The 20,576-nt window shown below is 49.0% G+C and overlaps 1 protein-coding gene across 3 annotated transcripts in view; it reads left to right on the top strand.

The window, feature by feature from the left end:
• The window catches only part of TTC7B (tetratricopeptide repeat domain 7B), a 291,867-nt gene that overhangs the window by 215,321 nt on the left and 55,970 nt on the right, over positions 1–20,576 (top strand). For all 3 annotated transcript variants that reach the window (NM_001320421.2, NM_001010854.2, NM_001401365.1), the window contains one exon: positions 7,484–7,624. In NM_001320421.2, coding sequence (NP_001307350.1) covers positions 7,484–7,624 — 141 coding nt within the window. The remainder of the gene's footprint in view (positions 1–7,483; positions 7,625–20,576) is intronic.

Below are 20,576 nucleotides of genomic sequence, written 5' to 3'. Positions count from 1 at the left end.
TATCTTTCTTTAAACAAGATTGAGTGGAATGATAGGAGACTGACAAGCCAACAGTAAGTGGCACTCAGGTAGAAGTTGGGGAGTGTGTCCAGCATTAGAATATCATCCCAACCTGGGAGGCTTTCCCCAGGACGCCGGCAGTCAGGCACTTGGAGGCTCAGAGAGCCTTCCCCAGGCAGAAGGCACTTCCACCCCAAGACACAGCCTCATGAATATGCATCAGGGAGGGTTCAGGTGGAGATGGAAGCATCTGCCCAATGTAGTCCTCCAGAAGGTACTGTCTCTAGCGCAGAGCCACCGGCAGCGGCTCGCTCTGACAGCTGGCACCTTCCTGCATGCGTGTGAACGGCTTCCCTCCATGCTTTCTGTGTGACCACCTGGCCCTGCCAGCACCCACCAGCAGCATGCTGCGCTAGCCCCGCATGCCCACCGGTGATGACATGTCCCCGGCCCTCCCTGCCTTACTGGGGTCCTTCCCTGGAAAGAGCTTCCCCCTTTCAGGACAAGACGTGTGCTGTCAGGTTTAAACGGTGCTTGATATTATGTTAAAGTCAGTGGGAAACTGATCCCGTCTTGGGGCTATGAGTCTTAATCCTTTTTTCACTTGGTGAAAAATGGAAGTGTCTACTAGAATGGTGACCAAGGTGATTTATTTATCAGAGGAACCCACAGCAGGAGCCCTCATGGTTGGTGGGACTGGGTGGGCAGCGGCCCCGCCCCTGCTGTCACACTGGGGGACACAAGGCGCGAGGGCAGCTCCCAGGGAAGCAGCAGATGGAGAGGAGAGCTGTGACAGCGCGGTGCAAGGAGCCACCACCTGGAGTCGCCTCCTCAGAAAGCAGGACTACCCTACAGCAAAGATGGGAATTGTCCTAACTCCCGGGCACCAGGGAGATGAGGGGACAGCAGTTATGTTTTTTAAAAGGTATGGAGAAATATGCCTGCTTTGAGGGCCGAAGTGGGAGTGGACACTCATGCCTCTTCCTCTCCCTTCAAGAAATAAGAGACAGTCAACACTAACTCCTTCGCCTCCTCCCGTCCTCAGCCCCCAGGACATTCTGGTTCTTCAAGCACAGGTGACACACAGAGACAGAAGGGCACAGAGCTGCCAGCAGTCTGCAGTGTTGGACTGATTTATTTCCAAGCCCTATCTTGAGAAACAGAATTTTTTTTTTCCTGTTAAGAAATGAAAATTCTAAAGCAAAGCTAGCTCACAGAATGCTGAGTCACTCAGATTGCTGCTTAATATTCAGGTTCTTTAAGAGATGGAACTGCTGCTTTTTCGTATTATTTTAATTGTGAATAAGTTGACAGAGAATTTGGAATCATTTCAGGGTCAAGGGAAAACAGGTACAGCAGAAATTCATTAGCAGCAGGTGATTTCTGCATGCCCACGACTGCAGTGGCTCAGCTACTTGTCAGAAAAATGTGGGGAGGGCAGGTGTCTGCCGCTGCAGCATTAGGCAGAAAGAATGTGGGTGCCAAACAGAGACGGGGCTTGGGGTGTGGCCACGTGCCATCGTTCCCCCATGTTCACACTCATGAGGCATGGAGTGGGTTCTCCAGGGCTGGGAAGCAAGGAGCTGCCCCAAATCCTGCCAGCCTCATGTGAGGTGGTCGGCTGACATCTTTTGGTAGAGGATGTTTTTCACACGTCATGTAATGTGGCTGTCCGTCGTTCCTGGCACTGGAATGCTCGCCAAGTCACCGGGTGGGCAGGATTCCATCTGAGAGAGATCCAGCTCATCTTCTATGTGCTGTGAGGGGAGAGGGAAGGCGAGGGGTCCTTCAGACTGCAGCCACTTAACTGAGGCCACCAGACAGTTAGAAGGAGAGCTGGAATATAATATATCCTATTTATTCGGCAACACTTGCGTGTGACAAATACAGGGATATGAAGCATAACTAAGCCACTTAATTTATCAGTTATGCTTTTTCCTTTGTCTTTTTCTTCTCTTTTTTTGTTTGAGACAGAATCTCGCTCTGTCACCCAGGCTGGAGTGCCATCTCAGCTCACTGCAACCTCCACCTCCTGGGTTCAACCGATTCTCCTGCCTCAGCCTCCCGAGTAGCTGGGATTACAGGCACCCGCCACCAGGCCCGGCTAATTTTTTTTGTATTTTTAGTAGAGACAGGGTTTCACCATGTTGGCCAGCCTGGTCTCAGACTCCTGACCTCAAGTGATCCACCCGCCTCAGCCTCCCAAAGTGCTGGGATTACAGGCGTGAGCCACCACGCCCAGCCTGTGCCTTTTCTTAACAGAATTATTGGTGCTGGGATCCCTTTGGATGATGAACTTTGGTGGAAGAGGGCTCACATGTGATTGCCACAGCTGAGGTCTATGTGAAATTCACCATAGGTGTCATGTGCATTGGAAAAAGGATTTTTGGAAAAGCTTCACCTGCAAAGGCAATATGAGCTAGCCGTCCCAGTGTCCTACTTGGGGCAGGCAGGGTTTCTCAACAGCCCTCAGTGTACAATAGGAGCACGGGTCAGAAAACCTCAGGAAGGGTTCAGAGCTTGGACTCATGGTGCCCTGAGATCAGTGGCCTTGGTTCCTCTTGGTTCCTGGTCCTCTTGGCCCGTGAGGAAATGCCTTCCCATCACAGTTTCTAGGTCCTCGGCTGCCTTCCCCCCTCCTTACCCCCATGCATGGTGATGGAGAGAGGAGCCTAGAAGGAAACCCTGGCTCAGAATGTTCTTCAGGTGGCACTTTGCCTCTGTATCAGGTGTCCAAGATAACATTTTCGATTGAGGATCTAGGTGGGAGGGCAAGGAAAGCCATTGGCTTGTGGAAATGCAGATGGCCTCCGCTCCAGGACGTCACACGCCCTTGCACCATTCGGGCCGTTTGACGACAGACCTGTGCTAGATTTCAGAGCGAGCTCTCACCTGCCTACGTCAGCCCTTGGTACAGTGGGTCTTGCAGTGGCTTTTCAGAGCCCCTGTGTCCTGTGACTGCGGGGAGAGGCGCATTGTCTCCTAGACGGAGCACGGCAGCCGCTGCGCAGCACACAGTCCTGTGGGCTCTGGCAGTGGCGGGACCTCTTGAAGCTGGGTGGCAGATGAGAGATGCACCATGGCCCAGGTGCTCTCCCTGGCTTACCTGTTGAACCTGATTATTTGGAAACTTATTTCTGCAGAGCCTTGGATTTCAAATTGGAAATATGTCCTATATTCTAACTTCTGATTCCTTTTTCAAGCCTCAGTTTGCCCATTTCCACCTTAAGTTAATAGTGCTCTCATTCTGATGTACGATGCAGGAACATGTTTGCCGTGGTGAGAAAGAAAGGGGTTCTTTAAAAATGTGCTGGTTAGAGCCAGTGTTTCCAGCTGTTTACCTATATAAGTCAAAATCCAGTGTCTATATAGTCACTTACCATTTCAGTTCTATGAAACAATAAAATACAGTACAGGGTTTTTTTTGTTGTTGTTGTTTTGTTTTTTTTTTTAGATGGAATCTCACTCTTGTTGCCCAGGCTGGAGTGCAATGGCGCAGTCTCAGCTCACTGCAACCTCCACCTCTGGGGTTCAAGCAGTTCTCCTGCCTCAGCCTCCTGAGTAGCTGGGATTACAGGTGTGCACCACCATGCCCCGCTACTTTTTGTATTTTTAGTAGAGACAGGGTTTCACTATGTTGACCAGGCTGGTCTCAAACTCCTGACCTCAGGTGATCCGCCTGCCTCAGCCTCCCACGGTGCTGGGGTTACAGGCATGAGCCACCGCGCCTGGCCTGCTTGGTTTGTTTTTTAACCAGCTGTATCCATTCTGATTAAAGTGATGTTTTTCCTTCCCCCTCCTTCCAATACTAATTCAATGGAAGACTTTTATTTGTTGTGTTATTTTCAGGAATAGTAGATACCAACTTATATAATTTCACTATTGTTAGTTATGTGCTATTATTATGTGAGTGCCCTAACATTTATCCCTGGTTCAGAATATGAAGGCTCTCTGCCCTGGTGAAATGTGTGTACCAAGAAATTGACTAGGAAGAAAAACATTATTTCTAATAAACCTGTTATCCTTCTCTATATTTTAATTTTACGTTAGGGGAAACGTCCATGTTTAATTGGAACTATTCACCACTGTCATTTTTAGTCTGGATTGTTGGAAGTGATGAGCACTGCACTGAAGTGTCCTTTGAGTGGGTGAATGTTCTGGCCTCTGAGCTGTTGTTAGAGGGGAAGAGTAGAGCACACGTGCATCCAGAGAGGGGGCCGCCCTCTTCTGAATTTCAGACAGTGAAGTGTCTATTGACAGCACTCGTTCATTCCCTGCACACTCATTTACCTAATACTTAGTATGGGCCTGGTATTGTTAGTCCCTGAAAATCCCTACCCTGAGGACGTAGTTCGCATCTTCTAGACCCACACGGTCTAATAAGGGAGATAGTTACATTAACTTTAAAACATGTGGTCTGTGCATTGTTAGTGACAACCACATAGAAGCACCAAGGACCAGAGAGTCTCACTTATTGTAGGGAGAAATGGAAGGCTCACAGCAGCCTTCCTGTAGGAGGTGGCATCAGAGCTGGACTTAGAGGACAGATTTGGAATCAGACTAGTGTTTGTGTTCTGGTTAAAGATTAGTACATATAAAGTGCCAATTGCAGTGCCTGAAACATGGTATGTTCTCTAAAACTGACAACCACCACTGCTGTCATCATCATCGCCATCATCATCATCATCTGCCAGACCTTATTCATAGTAAAATATATTGTGCTAGGAATTAATTGATTTAGTTGTGTATAAATACCACAAAGAGAAGAAACTTTGGCAGTAGTTCTGATTATTTATTTGTGGACCAAACAAAACAGTTAATCCAAAAACCAAAATTAGCCCCTCCAAAAGTCACAAACTCTTGTAGCAAAAGATTCACAGAACCTGGTAGAAAATGTGTGGAATGTTTCCAGAGCAATAATTTATTATTGTTATTTTTAATGAATTAGTAAGTGAATATTTTAAACATGTCTGTTAAAACATGTTAAAAAAAACATGTTTTTACTTCTAATGTGAATATCAATAGACATAACATATAAACAACCTCTTTAGGGTCTTCAATGATTTTTTTAGAGTCTGAAGAGATTCTGAGACCAAAAAGTCTAAGAACCCCTGTTCTAGAGAACAAGATCTTCCTGGAACTCTGTTCCCCAGGTGACGCTTGTGCTGCAGGGAAGCAGGAGAGCTCAGGCTGCCTGGCCCGTGTACAGGCTTTTTTTGACCAAATATTCGTTAACATTTGCTTCCGGTCTCTCCAAGCGAGTGGTTCTCAGTCTTAGCGGCACATTGGAATCACTTGGGGTGATTAACAAAGATGCCAGTCCTCACCCCTAGACTGAGTGATGTGGTCGGTCTGGGATGTAGCTATAACATCATGATTTTTTAAATCCCGAATGATTTTGATGTGAAGTTAAGGTTGAGAACCACTGTTCAAGCCAATGAGAAGGTAGCCAACTTGGTAATGGCGGAATAGGGCAACAACAGCCTCTAGATTACTCATTTATTTAACTTTCATTGCTACTAAAAATCTCAGGGAAACTACATCAAGTCCTTGTTATCAAAGTTCAAAATATTACTTTCCATAAAAAAGGTGACAAATAAGAAATTTTGACAGCAGTTTAATCATTTTGCTATGTAGATTTTTAAAAAATAGTAGTTAGACATACTTTGTCTAAACAAGGATAGATTCTTAGCACACTTCTTAGGTTCCCCCTTCATATACCATCAATTAGACTCTTTTTTAATTATTTATTTATTTATGCATTTATTTATTTTTTTGAGACAGAGTCTCACTCTGTCACCCAGGCTGGAGTGCAATGGAGCGACCTCGGCTCACTGCAAGCTCTGCCTCCTGGGTTCAAGCAATTCTCCTGCCTCAGCCTCCTGAGTAGCTGGGATTACAGGCACCTGCCACCGCGCCTGGCTAATTTTTTGTATTTTTAGTAGAGACAGGGTTTCACCATGTTAGCCAAGATGGTCTCGATCTCCTGACCTCCTGATCTGCCCGCCTCGGCCTCCCAAAGTGCTGGGATTATAGGCGTGAGCCACCGCGCCCGGCCACTAGACTCTTTTAACTCAGCCTCTGAGTTCCGTATTGTGCAGCAGGACTTGTTAGACCTTTCCAGAGGCTGCTCTCCTCTTGGTCGTCCTTGTGGGCACTGTCGGCCCACTCTGATTTCCATCCACCAACCCCTCACCAAAGGATTCAGGTGCATTTAGAAGCATCCATGTTACCATTATATTGGAGCAATCAAAACATAATATGGATGGCGCATCTATTGCCGTGAATACTCTTTAAATTTATAGATGATGGGTACATTCCAAAGCGCAACTGAAATTATTTTTATGCTCACAATTTTGTATTACCAAGAATATAACTCCATTTATTTTGTAGTCGCATTTATCTTTATAGATTATTACTATTTTAAACTTTATGATGAGTTGGTAGTTACCACTCTCAATGTTGGTATGTTTATCTCCATACTAAACTTTTTGATGAAGTTTGATGGATCATTAAGAATGATGCAGGTGAATAGAAATATTAACAGTTTCAAATTTGAAACAACTGCTCTCTTGAAATCAAGAGAATCCTGCTCTTGATTCTAAAACCACATCTCCAAGAGTGAATGTTGGAAAGAGATGGGAAGCAAGCCTCTGTTTAAGGAGGTGGTCTCCGATCCTCCGAGAGGTCAACGTGAAAAGAAATGAGTTTTGCATTTTGACTTGTGCACTCCCCCAACCCTTGACTAGTGAACATGCTTGGTTGACCCCTCTCCTTAGCCTTTCAGGACAGCAGGTTTTACAGAATAATTAGGCAGGTGCATATTCTGAACCCCAGGAGTCTTTGCTACAAACCCATTCCATCCCATCCCCTGCTAGTCTAGCCTTAAGGATAGACATCTGCTTATACACAGGGCAAAAGTGTGCTTTTTTCTGCAGTTTTTAAGTCATGCCTTAGAATATGGTTCTAAACCGAGGGTGTAGTCCACCTCTCCAAGGCCAGGCTTGCACTAATGAAACGGGAAGTTGCTGGGTTTGTCTTGAGAATGGCCAGTACATCTACTCCAAATGCTACCCCAGGAGGCAAGTATATTCCTCCCCCCACCCTGATTAAGTTTCTAGGTTTAGGCCCTTACAGGGGCGCTTTGTAATGTCCCCTTATAGCACTTCATTTATTTGATTTTTAAACGCCAGTATCATCACAGCTGTGTATCTGGCCCCCCATCTGCCAGCACTCACACCGCTAGGCTGAGCTCCTGGAGGGGGCATGTGCTCTGTTTGTTGACAAAAAGATTAGCTAAAGCCCAAGGATGGAAACTAAGGCCCCGGGCCGTGATTGCCCGCGTTTCTCTGTGGACAGTAAATCTTAGAAACATCATGGGGGAAGGGGTGTGTGTGTTCCGCGCTTGTCTGTGTGGGAAGGGGTTGATTGGTTGGGTCTGTTCTTTCGCTCCTGATAGAGTCTTCTCAAAAACCTCTCACAGGCTCCGTCCATGCCACATCGGTAGCAGCCTCAAGAGTGGAGCAGGCACTGTCGGAAGTGGCTTCGTCTCTGCAGAGCAGTGCCCCTAAGCAGGGCCCGCTGCACCCCTGGATGACGCTGGCACAGATCTGGCTCCATGCAGGTACCCTCCGCCTCACCCACAACCCGCTGCTGTGCCAGAGCCTGGGCTCCGCCCCACCCACAACCCGCTGCTGTGCCAGAGCCTGGGCGCTTGTCTGTTTAGCCCACACCCCTCATTAGGAGAGATCAAAGCTTCACGGCCATGCACCAAAATGTTACTACTACTTTGCACAAACCGCAAGTGACTCTGTATCCCCCGATCCCTCTCCCCTGCCTCGGTGCCCTGGCACAGAGCAGACATCTAGGAAAGTTTTCTGGATTGACTCTAAGGATTCTTGGGGAGTTTGCCATGTGGGGTGCAGGGTCTGTGCTGTAGAGACTGTCTTTGTGAGTGACTTGGAGTCATAGCTGTACCAACTGGGTAGATTTGAGTTAAAGTATTTAGCTCAGCCTCAGTTTCCAATTCTGTATGATGGGCTTAGGAATAGCACCCATCTCCCAGGGTTGATGAGTGCAATGCCTGGCACATCTTGACAGTGAATTCTTGGAGTCCCTGAGAGAGGGCCAGGAGGTGTTAAGGACACAGATGTCTTTATAAAGCCAGGGAAGGGGCTGTGTGTTTGGTGCCCTATGATCCTATGCTCCTCTGCCCCTCTCTGATGGCTCTCTCTGTAATTTCATAGAGAGACAGCAACAGCCTCTGACCTGGAGACTGGCCCGGAAGGGGGGCATGAGTGCCCCTTCCCCAGTTCCCAGGGCACTCTGCTGGCTCAGCGATGCTTCTGCACCACTAAAAAGCCCAAAAATAAATGCAGTGTCCAGGCTTTTTTTTTTTTTTGAGACAGAGTCTTGTTCTGTCACCCAGGCTGGAGTGCAGTGGTGCAATCTCGGCTCACTGCAACCTCTGCCTCCCAGGTTCAAGCGATTCTCCTGCCTCAGCCTCCCAAGTAGCTGGAATTACAGGCGCCCACCACCACGCCCAGCTAATTTTTGTGTTTTTAGTAGAGACGGGGTTTCACCATCTTGGCCAGGCTGGTCTCGAACTCCTGACCTCAGGTGATCCGTCCACCTTGGCCTCCCAAATTGCTGGGATTACAGGCGTGAGCCACCGCGCCTGGCCTGTGCAGGCATTTTAATAACGAGAATCCCACTACACTGCGCTTCCAAGAAATAATGGCTGTGGATTTACTTACATATTTATATTTCAACATAAAAGGTAATTCCCCTCCTCAGGTTTCATCACTTCATCTGTATAGCCCTACCTGGGTCTTCTCAGGCTTGACTCTTACAGTGTGTGGTGAAAGCCCACATTTGGCTGAGAAGGGTGCTTATTATCCACCAATTGTCCCTCTGTTGACTCCTTTTTTGCCAAGGCTAATCGTATGATATTCCACCCTGTTTGACACCACTGGCAGGCCTTCGCATTGAAAACATGTTTGGATTTACCTGGCCTTGGCATGCCGCAGAGCCCAGCTCAGTCAGCCTTTTCTGTGTTGGCATCTTCAATTGCACCATAATGACTACCGTAAATTAACAAATTATATTCTTCTAAGCAGAAGTACAAAAGAGGGGTGATTCATGAATTCACAGTTGTTCTTCTCTGCTGCAGACGCCTGCAGCATTTGGCCTCTTGCTTAGAGAGGTCCCAGACATTCTGGCTCTGAGGGCCAAGGAGTAGCAGTAACGCCTCCTCCACAGCTCCCTTATGCAAAAGTCCAGTTCCTGGCTGAGAACTCTGATGGCTGTCCTAGTCAGTTACCCCCATGAACAACAACTACAGAGAACAGAAAGGGAAGGAGTATGGTTTAGTGTCCAGGCCAGGTAAACCTGAACTTGTGGGGCTGGTGTAGGGGCAGAGTTGCCTTTTAAATTGGTCTCAAAGTTGGGTTTCTGAAGAGCTGGAGTCTAAAACACTAGAAGGGCTGAAGGCCATCCCTCCAGGGTGGAACTAGCCCCCCTGACCTCGAAGGTGGTGCTTCTCTTGCTTGTTTCTCAGAAAACTTAATGACCTGAAAGTCAACATATTCCAGGAGAGCTCTGTCTGGTGCCTTGCTGCCCCCAATTCAGTTATCCAGAGACTTTGCCCCACTTTGCGTGGCCTGCCGTGACTGTTGGGGAGGAAATTTTGTAGCTGATTATTAGAATATTGAAGAACTTAATGGTTAAGATTCAGCTTGGAGCTATCCTTTCATTTTATTTTTTCGGGGGGTTGGAGTCTCACTCTTTGGCCCAGGCTGGAGTACAACGGTGTGATCTCAGCTTACTGCAACCTCTGCCTGCTGGGTTCAAGCAATTCTCCTGCCTCAGCCTCCCAAATAGCTGGGATTACAGGTGCCTGCCACCATGCTCCACTGATTTTTGTATTTTTAGAAGAGACAGGGTTTCACCATGTTGGCCAGGCTTGGTCTCGAACTCCTGACCTCAGGTGATCTGCCTGCCTCAGCCTCCTAAAGTGCTAGGATTACAGGTGTGAGGCACCGTGCCCAGCCTTCTTGGAGCTGTCCTTGAATTTTAATATAATCACACAAGATCCGTTTCTCATTGCATGGCCCATAGGACAGAGTCAAGTTCTCCTTCCTAGCAAATGGGTGTGGCTTTACTATTCTAGAAGGTGGTGGAATTGAACTATGGAAAGTGACTGTCGACCCTGTAAACCCTGAGCAGACTGTGCTGTATGCATACGGTGAGCATTGTGTGTAGGACGAATGAATGAAGTCAATTAGGATCTTTTTGGAATTTGTGCCATATCGACTGTTTCAAAGCAATGACTTTGCTTGAGTCAAGATTTAGAATCGTATCATATATTCACATAGTCCTTCAAGAGGAAAATTTAGAAGACAGTTTCCACTGCACTGCCAGATTTTACCTTATGTGATTTGAGCTCCACTGCTCTGAGAGGCAAAATAAATGTGACTCAATTTTTTGGCAGTTCATGGAAACCAGGTAACCTCTGTTTCCTGTGTCCATCATCAGCTCCCACAATACTGCCAGAGCCCATAAGTTTTGTAAGCTTTAGAAGAAATTAGTTAGATCAAGGCCTGACACCCAAAGCCATGGTGTCTGAGTGACATTTGTGGGCCTGTTCTCTCCTGGTGGTTTTTTCTGGTGAACTGAGTACAGTGGGAGCTCGTGATGGGAGCCCACAGTGGAGGTGGACCCAGATTTGAGGCTTGCAGGAAAGGTCACTCGGAGATGACCTTGGATTTCCAGCAGAGAAATCTATTGTAGCAGAGGGTCCCTAGGCCACTTGTCTGTGCATGTATATGACAAGGAGATAGTGAATAGGACACCTGTGCCGCCAGCTGCTTTGTAAGGGGACAGGCCCAGGAGATGAGGGATGCTTGCCCACAGCAGGTCCCCACTTTCTGTATGATAGGTGCTCCCTTCCATAGGTCCATGGCACACAATTGAAAAGCCACAAAGTGAAAAGGCTCCCTCTTATCCCTGAGCCTCAGTCACCCCCACCACAGGCAACCACTGTCACCGGTTCTGTGCATCTTCCAGAAATCTCACATGCTGTACTTTGTCCCCCACCACCCCCTGAATGTGCCACCTGGTAGGTCAGTGCACATCAGCACCTGTAAGGTGACTTATACTTTGTCACAGCTACAGAGTATGTCTACTGTATGGTTAGACCATCATTTAACCAATACTCTACTGATTAACATTTAGATTTTAATCTTAAATTCAGCTGATAACATTTAGCTTATTATGGCAATTTGTGCCATGTTGACTCTTTCAAAGCAACGATTTTGCTTGAGTCAAGATGTAGAATCATATCATACCTTCACATAGCCTTTTAAGAGGTAAATTTAGAAGAAAACAGCTTTCACCGCACTGTCGGGTTTTACCTTATGTGGTTTGAGCTCCCCCACTCTAGTATTTTGCCATTACAGATAATGCTTCAATAAGTATCCCTATACACAGTCTACCCTTTACATTCTCAGGTTCTGCACCCACGGATTTAACCAACCTTGCATTAAAAATATCTGAAAAAAATCTGTCTGTACTGAACAAGTACAAACTTTGTCTTCTTGTCATTATTCCCTAAACAATACAGTATAAGAACTATTTAAATAGCATTTACATTGTATTAGGTATTTTAAGTAATCTAGAGATGATTTAAAACACACAGGAGGATGTGCATAGGATAATTTAAAATACACAGGAGGATGTGCAAATCCTGCACCATTTCATATCAGGGACTAGAACATCCATGGATTTTGGTATTCAAGGGAGGTCCCAGAACCAATTCCCCATGGATACTGAGGGCTGACTGTGTATTTTTTTTTATCTGTAAGATAAACTCTAAACAGTGGAAGTGATGGATGAAGGGGTGTGTACTCTTTAATTTTGATAAGTTTTGTCCATTGCCTTCCACAGAATTGTACCAGTTTACATTCCAGTCAACAATGTGCTAACGTCCACTTTCTCACGCCCTTGCCAACACAATGAATTCTCAGAATCCTTGATCTTTCCAGTCTGACAAGTAGAAAATGGTATTTCAGTTTTCTGTCCGTAGCTTTTGACCATTTATCTTCTTAGATACTGAGCTTTTCCTTTTTATTTCTAAGCACTTATTGTGTGTCAAAGAAATCTGCCTTGTCTCTGAAATAGGTGCTGTAAACATCTTCCAAGGGTTTTTTTTTTTTTTTTTTTTAGTTTTTGTTTGTCTTTTGCCGTTTTTTAAAATAAATTTATCAATTTTTTCTTACGGCATCTGTGCCTCCCATGATATTTGGAAAGCAACTATTCATGTTTATGGTTTCTTTTCCTAAAAGTTCCAGGTATGTTCCAGTGCCATTTGTCTATATACTATTCTGTAAAGAAAGTCAGAGAAAGGTTATTTTCTCCATTTTTACAATGTGGGAGCCCAGGCTGGATAGAAGTGAGCACCTTTGCAGTCTCACTATGCAGAAGTCAGGAGAGCCCCATTAGAGCATGGGATGTGGCACCTCAAGACATGGTTCCTCAGGAGCCATTCCTCATCTTCCTTGAGTGCACACCTTACTGCTGGCATTGGAAATTCGCATGTCCACAGCCCTTCAGCACTGAGCCAGGGTCTTTTCCAAACCAAACAGCTTCTTGGTGCCCATTTTTCAATTTCCACCTTGGGATGGCAGCTAAAAATGACTTTGCGGTAGGTGGTTAATTTCTGCTTGTTACTTACTAATAATTACAGCTTTCACTTTGGCACCTCTCATGGTTGAAACCAGCGGCTATTCTTAGATATGCAAGATCAGATTTTCTGATTTCTGCTGGAAATTTAAGGCTGTAATACTCTCACAAATTCCTTGGCCCTGGCCTGGCCTGGCCTGGCCTGGCGCCTTTGCCCAGACTCCTCCCAGGCACCAGAGGTTGCATCAGCAGGGTCAAGGGGTAATCCCGTAGCCTTGCCCCATTCGTGACGAGATGAAGACAGTTCCCAGACAGGTGGTGTGTGCAGTCACTGTACAGGGAGCGCCTGTGAGAGGGAACACGACGTCCCTGAGGGTCAAGCCCGTCCAGCTAACGTTTACCACACACTGTAGATGTGTCAGATGCTATTCCAAGGACTTTAATATGTCTTAATTTGTTCAGTCCTCATAATAACCTTATGAGGTATAAATACCCGTATTCACCCCATTCCATAGGTGAAGAAACTGAGACACAGCTATCAGGTCACTTGCCGAAGGTTACGTGGCTAAAGAGTTAGAAAGCCACAATCTAAACCCAAGCAGTGTGGCCCCAGAACCCTAGCTCCAACCCACAGTAGGCACTCAGTTGTCAACACAGTATCGTCCAGCATCTCCACCTGCCACAGTGGAGCGAGGCACTGGAGTCCTATGGTTATGAAGACAGACACAGCTCCTGGCCTTCATGGCATTTGCAGATGTGGAACAGAACAATGACAGAAGCACTTAACTCCCTGTGCCAAGTGCTGGGGGGAGCACTGTAGGCCCCTGCGACCCCTCATAACACAAGGCCTCCCCCAACCAGGGGAGCCAGAGGGGGCCTGCACACACTTGGGCAGTGACCTCAGCAGTGACTAGCACCAGGTCAGGGACGATGGAGGCATAGAACAGCATGTGGGAAGACCTGGGGGCAGCCTGAGCTCTGAGTGTTAGAGGAATACTGGCCCCTGGGGCATGAACCCTGAGGAGTAAGCAGTAAAGCAGCCAAGGGGAGCCAGGAGAAGGGCCCAGGCTCAAGTCATGCCAGCACCCCTGGCAGCCATGTTAAGATATTTTAGTTAATCCTAAAATCATTGGAAAGCTACTGAGGGACTTGAAGCAGGAGCATGAAAGGACCACTTTCAAAAGATCACTCCAAGCTGGGCACTACTCAGGAGGCTGAGGTGGGAGGATTGCCTGAGTCCGGCCTGGGCAACATAGCAAGACCCCTCTCCGGAAAAAAAATCACTCCAGCTAAATGTGGAGAATGGATGGAAGGCAGTCAAAGTGGACGCCGGCAGAGCAGGAAATTGGGAGCATTGGTCCAGGTGGTAGAGGACAGCAGCTTGGTCTGTGGTCTCAATGGAGATGAAGAGGAGGGGACCCTGAGATGCCTTCTGAGGCAGAACTGATGGGACTTGTTGTAGGTTGGATGTTGAGGGGTGAAGGAAAAGGAGGAATACAGAAGGAAACCTGAGTGTGGGGCTTGAGTCTGTGGGTGACTGGTGACACCATTTGCTGCAATGAGGAAGCCTGGGGAAGAACTGATGAGTTGGAGTCAGGGAGGCAGAGACTTCAGAGTCCCACTTGAGCTTGGAAGTGTCGGGTGCCTGAGGACAAGGAAGTCAGGATGCCAGGCAGGCGGCTGGATGTTCCGGTCTACATTTCAGAACTGGGCTGGAAACATACCTTTAAGAGTTGGGATTTAAAGCCCCCTTTAAAGGCCTAAGATAGGTGCTAAGACGGCCTAAGAAGAGAATGTAGGTGGAGAAGTGAAAGGGCCAGACTGAGACTGAGCCCCTCCACATTTAAAGCTTGGGGAACAGCCGGGTGCAGTGGCTCATGCCTGTAATCCCAGCAGTTTGGAAGGCTGAGGCGGGTCAATCACCTGAGGTCAGGAGTTCAAGACCAGCCTGGCCAACATGGTGAAACCCCGTCTCTACTAAAAATACAAAAGTAGCCAGGTGTGGTGGCAGGCACCTGTAATCCCAGCTACTCGGGAGGCTGAGGCAGGAGAATCGCTTGAACCTGGGAGGTGGAGATTGCAATGAGCCGAGATCGCACCACTGCACTCCAGCCTGAGCAACAAGAGCGAAACTCCACCTTGAAAAAAGAAAAAAAGATTGAGGAGCAGAGGAAGAGCCACAGCATCTGAAGGGGAGTGGTCGGCAAGGCGGGAGGAAAGCAGCGCAGACGGCATCGCGGCAGCCAGGGGGGCAGGAAGGAGCCCATGCGGTGAAGGCGAGAACCTGGGTCTGGCTCATCAGTTACAACCCTGGCCCCGCCACACACTAGCAGTAATACCTGGGCAAGCTATTCCCACTCCCACTGAGCCTCTATGTCTTCTATTAAATGAAGAGAGTTAGGACAACCACATAACAGCAAACACATAACAACTACTAAAATAACGATTTTTAAGGAGGATGTGGCCGGTGGGCAGTGCCGCTGAGAGGTTGGGAATGTAGCGACAAAAGCATTTGCTGGACCTGATGTATGGGAGTGTTGGTAACGAGACTGGATTTAGTGGCGTGGTGGAGATGGATGCCATCTGGTGTGGGTTGCAGAGCAAATGGCAAGTGAGGAAGTTAAGGCACAGAAGGTGCACAGTTCTTGCAAGAAGAATCCCTCTGGAGCAGCAATGAGGGATGTGATTGGGAGCCTGGGGCTTGAAGGGGGCTGAAACCCGTTGGAGCATGTTGATTGGATGTGCGGAGCTGCGTAGGGACTGAGGAGGCTGAAGCCCATTGGAGCACGTTGATTGCCCACAGGGATGATCAGGTAAAAATGAGGCCCTCGGCATCCAAAAGAGAGGGGGGATGTGTGGAGGTGAAATGAATTCCTCCAGCAAGAGTGTGGTGGGGTCCAGGGCACAGGCAGAGGGCTCTCAGTGACGAAGTCAGAAGAGACACAGAGTGGATGGAACAGAGGACACAGATGAGTTGTTGGTTTGGTGGCCAGAAGAGGCTCGGGGTCCACTTGGCTGGCTTCTGACTTCTCTCTGAATGATGTGTCAAGGCAGCGGAGGGGATGGGTCAGGAGTCAGAACAGCGGGGCTGAGGCCAGGAAGGGCTAGCGCCTGTCACTGCTGCAGCTAGGGGAGGAGGAGCTCATCCTGCTGTGCCACGGAGCCCCTGGAGAAGGGATCCCTCTCGACAAACTGACACAGCCAGATGCAGACTCAGAGACTAATGGCAGTTGCACAGCCCGACCCTGGCAAAGACATTTGGCTGGGCCTTCAATGAGGCCAGAGCCTGGGCTGTGCTCAATTTGGGGACTTCAGATCCCAGCATGGGGCCTGGCCGAGGGAAGCTCAGGGTAGGACGGCACTTGAAGACAAAATCACTGCCTCCTTCCACTTGCTAACCCTTCTCAGACAAAGAAAGAATTAAGGCTAAGTCCAGTGAGAGCCGACAGAGCTGAAGGCCTCTCTAGGCCTTGAGGGCTTGGAAGGGTGACAGGAGACCCATCAGGACACAGGATCCCTTTCTGCTTGGCCCTTGTGCTGATTTTTATGTGAAAAAGAAGGTGGGCTCCAGGAGCACCCTCTGTGCTAGCAGACACCCTGCGATCAGGTGGGACCCCTCTGCCCTCCACAGCATCTCTCTTTAGGGAGGCAGGGTCAGGGGTAAAGGACATGGTTTGGAGGGGTCAGGGAGGCTGCCGGCTTGAGCTGCGAGGTCGGGAGGTACCTACTGCCATGCGTCCTTTCCGTCACGTTTCTCTGCCAGGCGCAGGTGAGGTAGAAGATCTCGGGGCCGTTCTGAGGGCTGCCTCCAGCCTAGACTGCTCCTTTGTGTGCGTTTCCGAAAGATGTCCCTTCTGAATAGACTAAGCCCCCAGAGAGAGCAGCCTTGGCTAGTGGAGGACAACTTTGTGAGAAGGAAAGGGCTTCCTTGCATTCCTCCAGGCTGGTGCAGCCCTGTCCAGGCACACAGCCTGCAGTGGGGCCCAGGCTGGTTGTCAGCCTCCTCAGCCCAGTGCCTGTGCACACCCCGCACAGCCAAGCCCAGGGCAAGCCCCTTGCAGCTGACATGAAGCAGGGGCTTGACAAGCATTTGATGAATGAATGAATGAATGAACGAGGAAACTAGACCTGCGTGAGGTTCTGGGTGCATCTAGCACCAGGTCCCCCAGCCAGGAACACCACTTCACCTTGAGAGAGAAACCTTCACAGAGTAGCTTGCCCTTTTAGGATCACGTCTCCAGTCTGGTTCAACAAACCATTCCAGGAAGCCCTCTGTGCGCAAGGCAGAGTTAGGGTGCGAGGAAGGAACAGGCTTGACCCAGCCCTGCAGGAGGGTTGGCACACTTGCGGCTCACTGTGACAGGGCAGATGAGGTCGAGGGGTGTCCCAGAGCACACGCAGGGTGGAGGAAGAATGGAAAGGTGAAAAGTGCTTGCCCTGGGTTTCTGGGGGGTCCTGGGCAGAGTGAAGCTGAAAGGCATTTGAGGCAAAAGAGGAGGTTGGAAAGGCGGCAGGGCCCTGATTTTGAATTTTAAATGCCAAGCAAAAGCATTTGGGTTATGTTCATGCCAAATAAGCTTTGTACACGGTGGGGAGATTTTATCCACATTTTTCATAGTAACCCAATAGCAGGGACAAACCAAGGGTTCCTAAGAGAACATTCAGAGCTTATGGAGCTCTCAAAATAAGGTAGGAAGTATCCACGCCCCTTGCCTTTGGTGAGAGGCAGTCAGCCACCAGCGGCCAGGACAGAATATCTGTCCCTGGAACCTCTTCAGAGAGTGACCTTCCAGACCCTGCCCTGCAGCTGGAGCACTGACCTTGCGCTGAAGTGTGTTCTTGTTGGCAGCTGATGGCGTTGAGTTCCCAGAGCCCATTTCACTGTGCTGCTGTTCCTTTGGTACCAGTTCTTGTATCTCTTAATAAGCTTACAAGGCCCTTTATTTTTTTAAATTGAATTCACTCCTTGGTGAAAGGAAAGGGAGATTTCATTTGCTGTTGCTTCCCTGGCCTTCACCTGTCCTTGTTGATCTGTGCCACAGAAATGGCTGCCCTGCTCTGACCCACACCCAGCATTCAGTAATCTGCAGACTTTTCTTGAGCACCTACTAAGTTGTGTCCTAGGGGACCAGCCTGTAGATCCTCTGCTGAGGGATACAGAAATGACTGTGGCTAGGAGTTGTCTACAGTTTAGCGAGAAAGCCATACTGTTTCTATGTGAGGGGCTTTGGGAAAGTATAAATGATATTCTTTTCTTCCTGAGTTCCCAACCAGTGAAGATGAGGGAGGCAGATGGAGATCAAATCCCCACCTCTGCTACTGGGGAGGTTGGGTGGAATATGTGGTCCTTATTTGGGCTATGGACTCCCAGGAAAGAAGGCTTTTCAAGTAGTGCAGGTTCATAATCAATACTTGTGGCCTCGTTCTGTCCTAGAGGCCCAGCCACATGCCTAGGCAAAGAAGGCTACATCCTGGGGTGATCTCACGGGTGGTGGGAGACCTTAGAAATCCTTTCCTTTTTATCTCCAACTCCATCTCAAACTACCTGATTGGTGTCTGAAACCCCACCACTAAAGCTTCATTCCTGGAGCCTAAGACGTTGTGCCCCATGCAAGTGTAATTTCCTCTTAGAGAGGGAATGGCTATTCAGAGTCATTGTCTTAAGGGGCCATGGTGAAATGGAAAGGCTAGACCTGGATCCCCCAAATACTCTGACCTGGCAAAATAGAGCTGCGGGGCTCAAATGAGTCCAGTTGTCTCTTTGCACCTCAGCTTCCTCACCCTGCGGTCTCCAAGAGAGCTTAGGCTTGACTGAGAGTTACTTACCCTCACCATTTGTGACTCGCTTTGGGCTCCAGGCTTTCTGGTGAATGGAAGTTGCTGGAGGAAACCTGTGGCACTGGTATAAGGCCTGTGCTCCTGATGGATGTGGCAGGAAAATGCTCAGCCTAGGGTTGATCCCTTGGCACGGCCTTGTCTTGATCCCTGCCACTCCTGTGTTGTCTGATGCCTGCCACTGCCCTGGGAGAGCTATGGGCTAGGCACAGGCCCCCCACCTGACAGGTGGACAGGCCCAGAGAAGGTGATTGACTTGCCCAAGGCCACACATGAGGCGCAGGGCCAAGAACCAAGTTCTCCATGTTCTCATGACACTGTGGCTTGCAAATTGGAAACCCTAGTGTTCCCAGTGGCGCCTCAGAGGCAGAGAGAGGGGGGCAAACAAGAGGGAGCCACACTGCCCACTCTCAGGAGTCTTTTGTATCCTGGGGTAAGATCCCTTTGGAAGAAACAGCCTTCACTGGCAAAAATGGTTTGAAAATCACTGCAGGACATCATGCCTTCAGTCTTTCCTTTTGAGCTGAAAACGGAGGGATTTGGGAGTAACCCTAGGCCGTGCATTTTGCTGTCACATCTGTCAGGGTCACAGGCCTTATCAGAGCCATAGGTTTCCTCCAGCAACTTCCACAGCACTGAAAAGTGCCATGGGGGCTGGATTCTTTCCCTTACCGTCATGATCCTGACTTCGTTCCGTCTGTGTCTCCCATTTCCCCATCACGTGAAGGGAGCGAGAACATCAGGCCTGAGGCTTAGGCAGGCTTGGCGACCAGTGAGATACTTGGAATCACATTTGGTCTCATGGAGGACCCCTGGAGAGCAGGAATGACATGCACACAGTCTTATTGGCATTTATGGCTTTCTCCACATTGATTCTTGTTCTGGACATGTTCATCCCTGCTCTCCTATGTCAGCCTTTGTTCATAATGCTCTAACTGGGAGAGGCTGGGCGGCCTCACCAGCCCACAGCATCTCCAGGACTGGGATCTTGGAAGTGAACTCACTCCCAGCTTGGCAGTGAGGCAGGAGCCAGGCGTGCAATGAGAGGGACGCTCTGTCCTGCTCCCCTGTGTTGCCACTGCACTCGAGAACCAAAACCTCAGTGGGCACACATTTGACTCTTTGGTGAGGGCGTTGAGGGAATTGTGTTACTGAAAGGCATCAGACAGCCCGATGGTGTCATTAGGAGGGTGTTTGTCTCCCAGAAGGGAGAGGTTTTGCCTGGTCCAAACTAAAGGACAGAGAAATGTCTTCTTTGTCCCTATAGAGTCCCCTGTGAGTATAGAAGTTCAGGAGTTACCTTCTGAGTTGAGTCTTCTGAGACCAGGAGGCAGGCATGGCTGGGCGGTCACCTTCAGGGCTCAGTGCATGGTGCTGGAATTGCTCGAGTTTCTGTGTCTGCAGGAGTCACCCAGTATGCCCCTCCACAAGCCCCTGGGCCCCGTTATCTCTAGCGAGGAGGGACTGGCAGGCACAAGTACAGACAGAAGGCACTGTGTGCATCTGGGCCAGGCGAGGCCCGCTTCTTCCAGGGCCTTCTCTTGGGGAGAGAAGGCCTGGGGAGTCAGTCGTTGGTACAAATATCACCAGGAAAGTGAGATGTTCGAGGGAGGGACCGGCCAGGCTGATTGAGGTCAAAGGTCAGCAGCATCGCCACTAACCACAGCCATGAGATACACACCAGCCATTTCCCCGCCCCCAGGCCTGAAGCTGGGAGCCAGAAAGATGGATCTGCCCCAGCGCCTGCCAGGGCTATCCCTGGCATACCCAAGACCTCACAAAAATACTTACAGGGACCTGGCTATCAGGAGCTGCAGAGGCTGGGCTTTCCTTTCAGCTGAGGCGGGTGGTCAGAGAGCTCCCTGGGATGGCGGGATCCATCTGGGCCCTGAAGGAGGCTGCAGTGATGGCTTTACAGGCACAGGCCATAGAATTGACACAAGTGTGGAGACAGGGACACCCACTGTGTGTGCAGAAGCAGCACTAGCAAGGCCAGAGCCCGGGGGTTCCGGGAGGCGGTAGGAAGCAGATAAGGGCAGTGTGCCAAGCTCCCGAGGGCT

The sequence above is a fragment of the Homo sapiens genome, chromosome 14 (genome assembly GCF_000001405.40).
Source record: "Homo sapiens chromosome 14, GRCh38.p14 Primary Assembly".
Lineage (NCBI taxonomy): Eukaryota > Metazoa > Chordata > Mammalia > Primates > Hominidae > Homo > Homo sapiens.
This window is presented reverse-complemented; position numbering and strand designations above follow the sequence as displayed.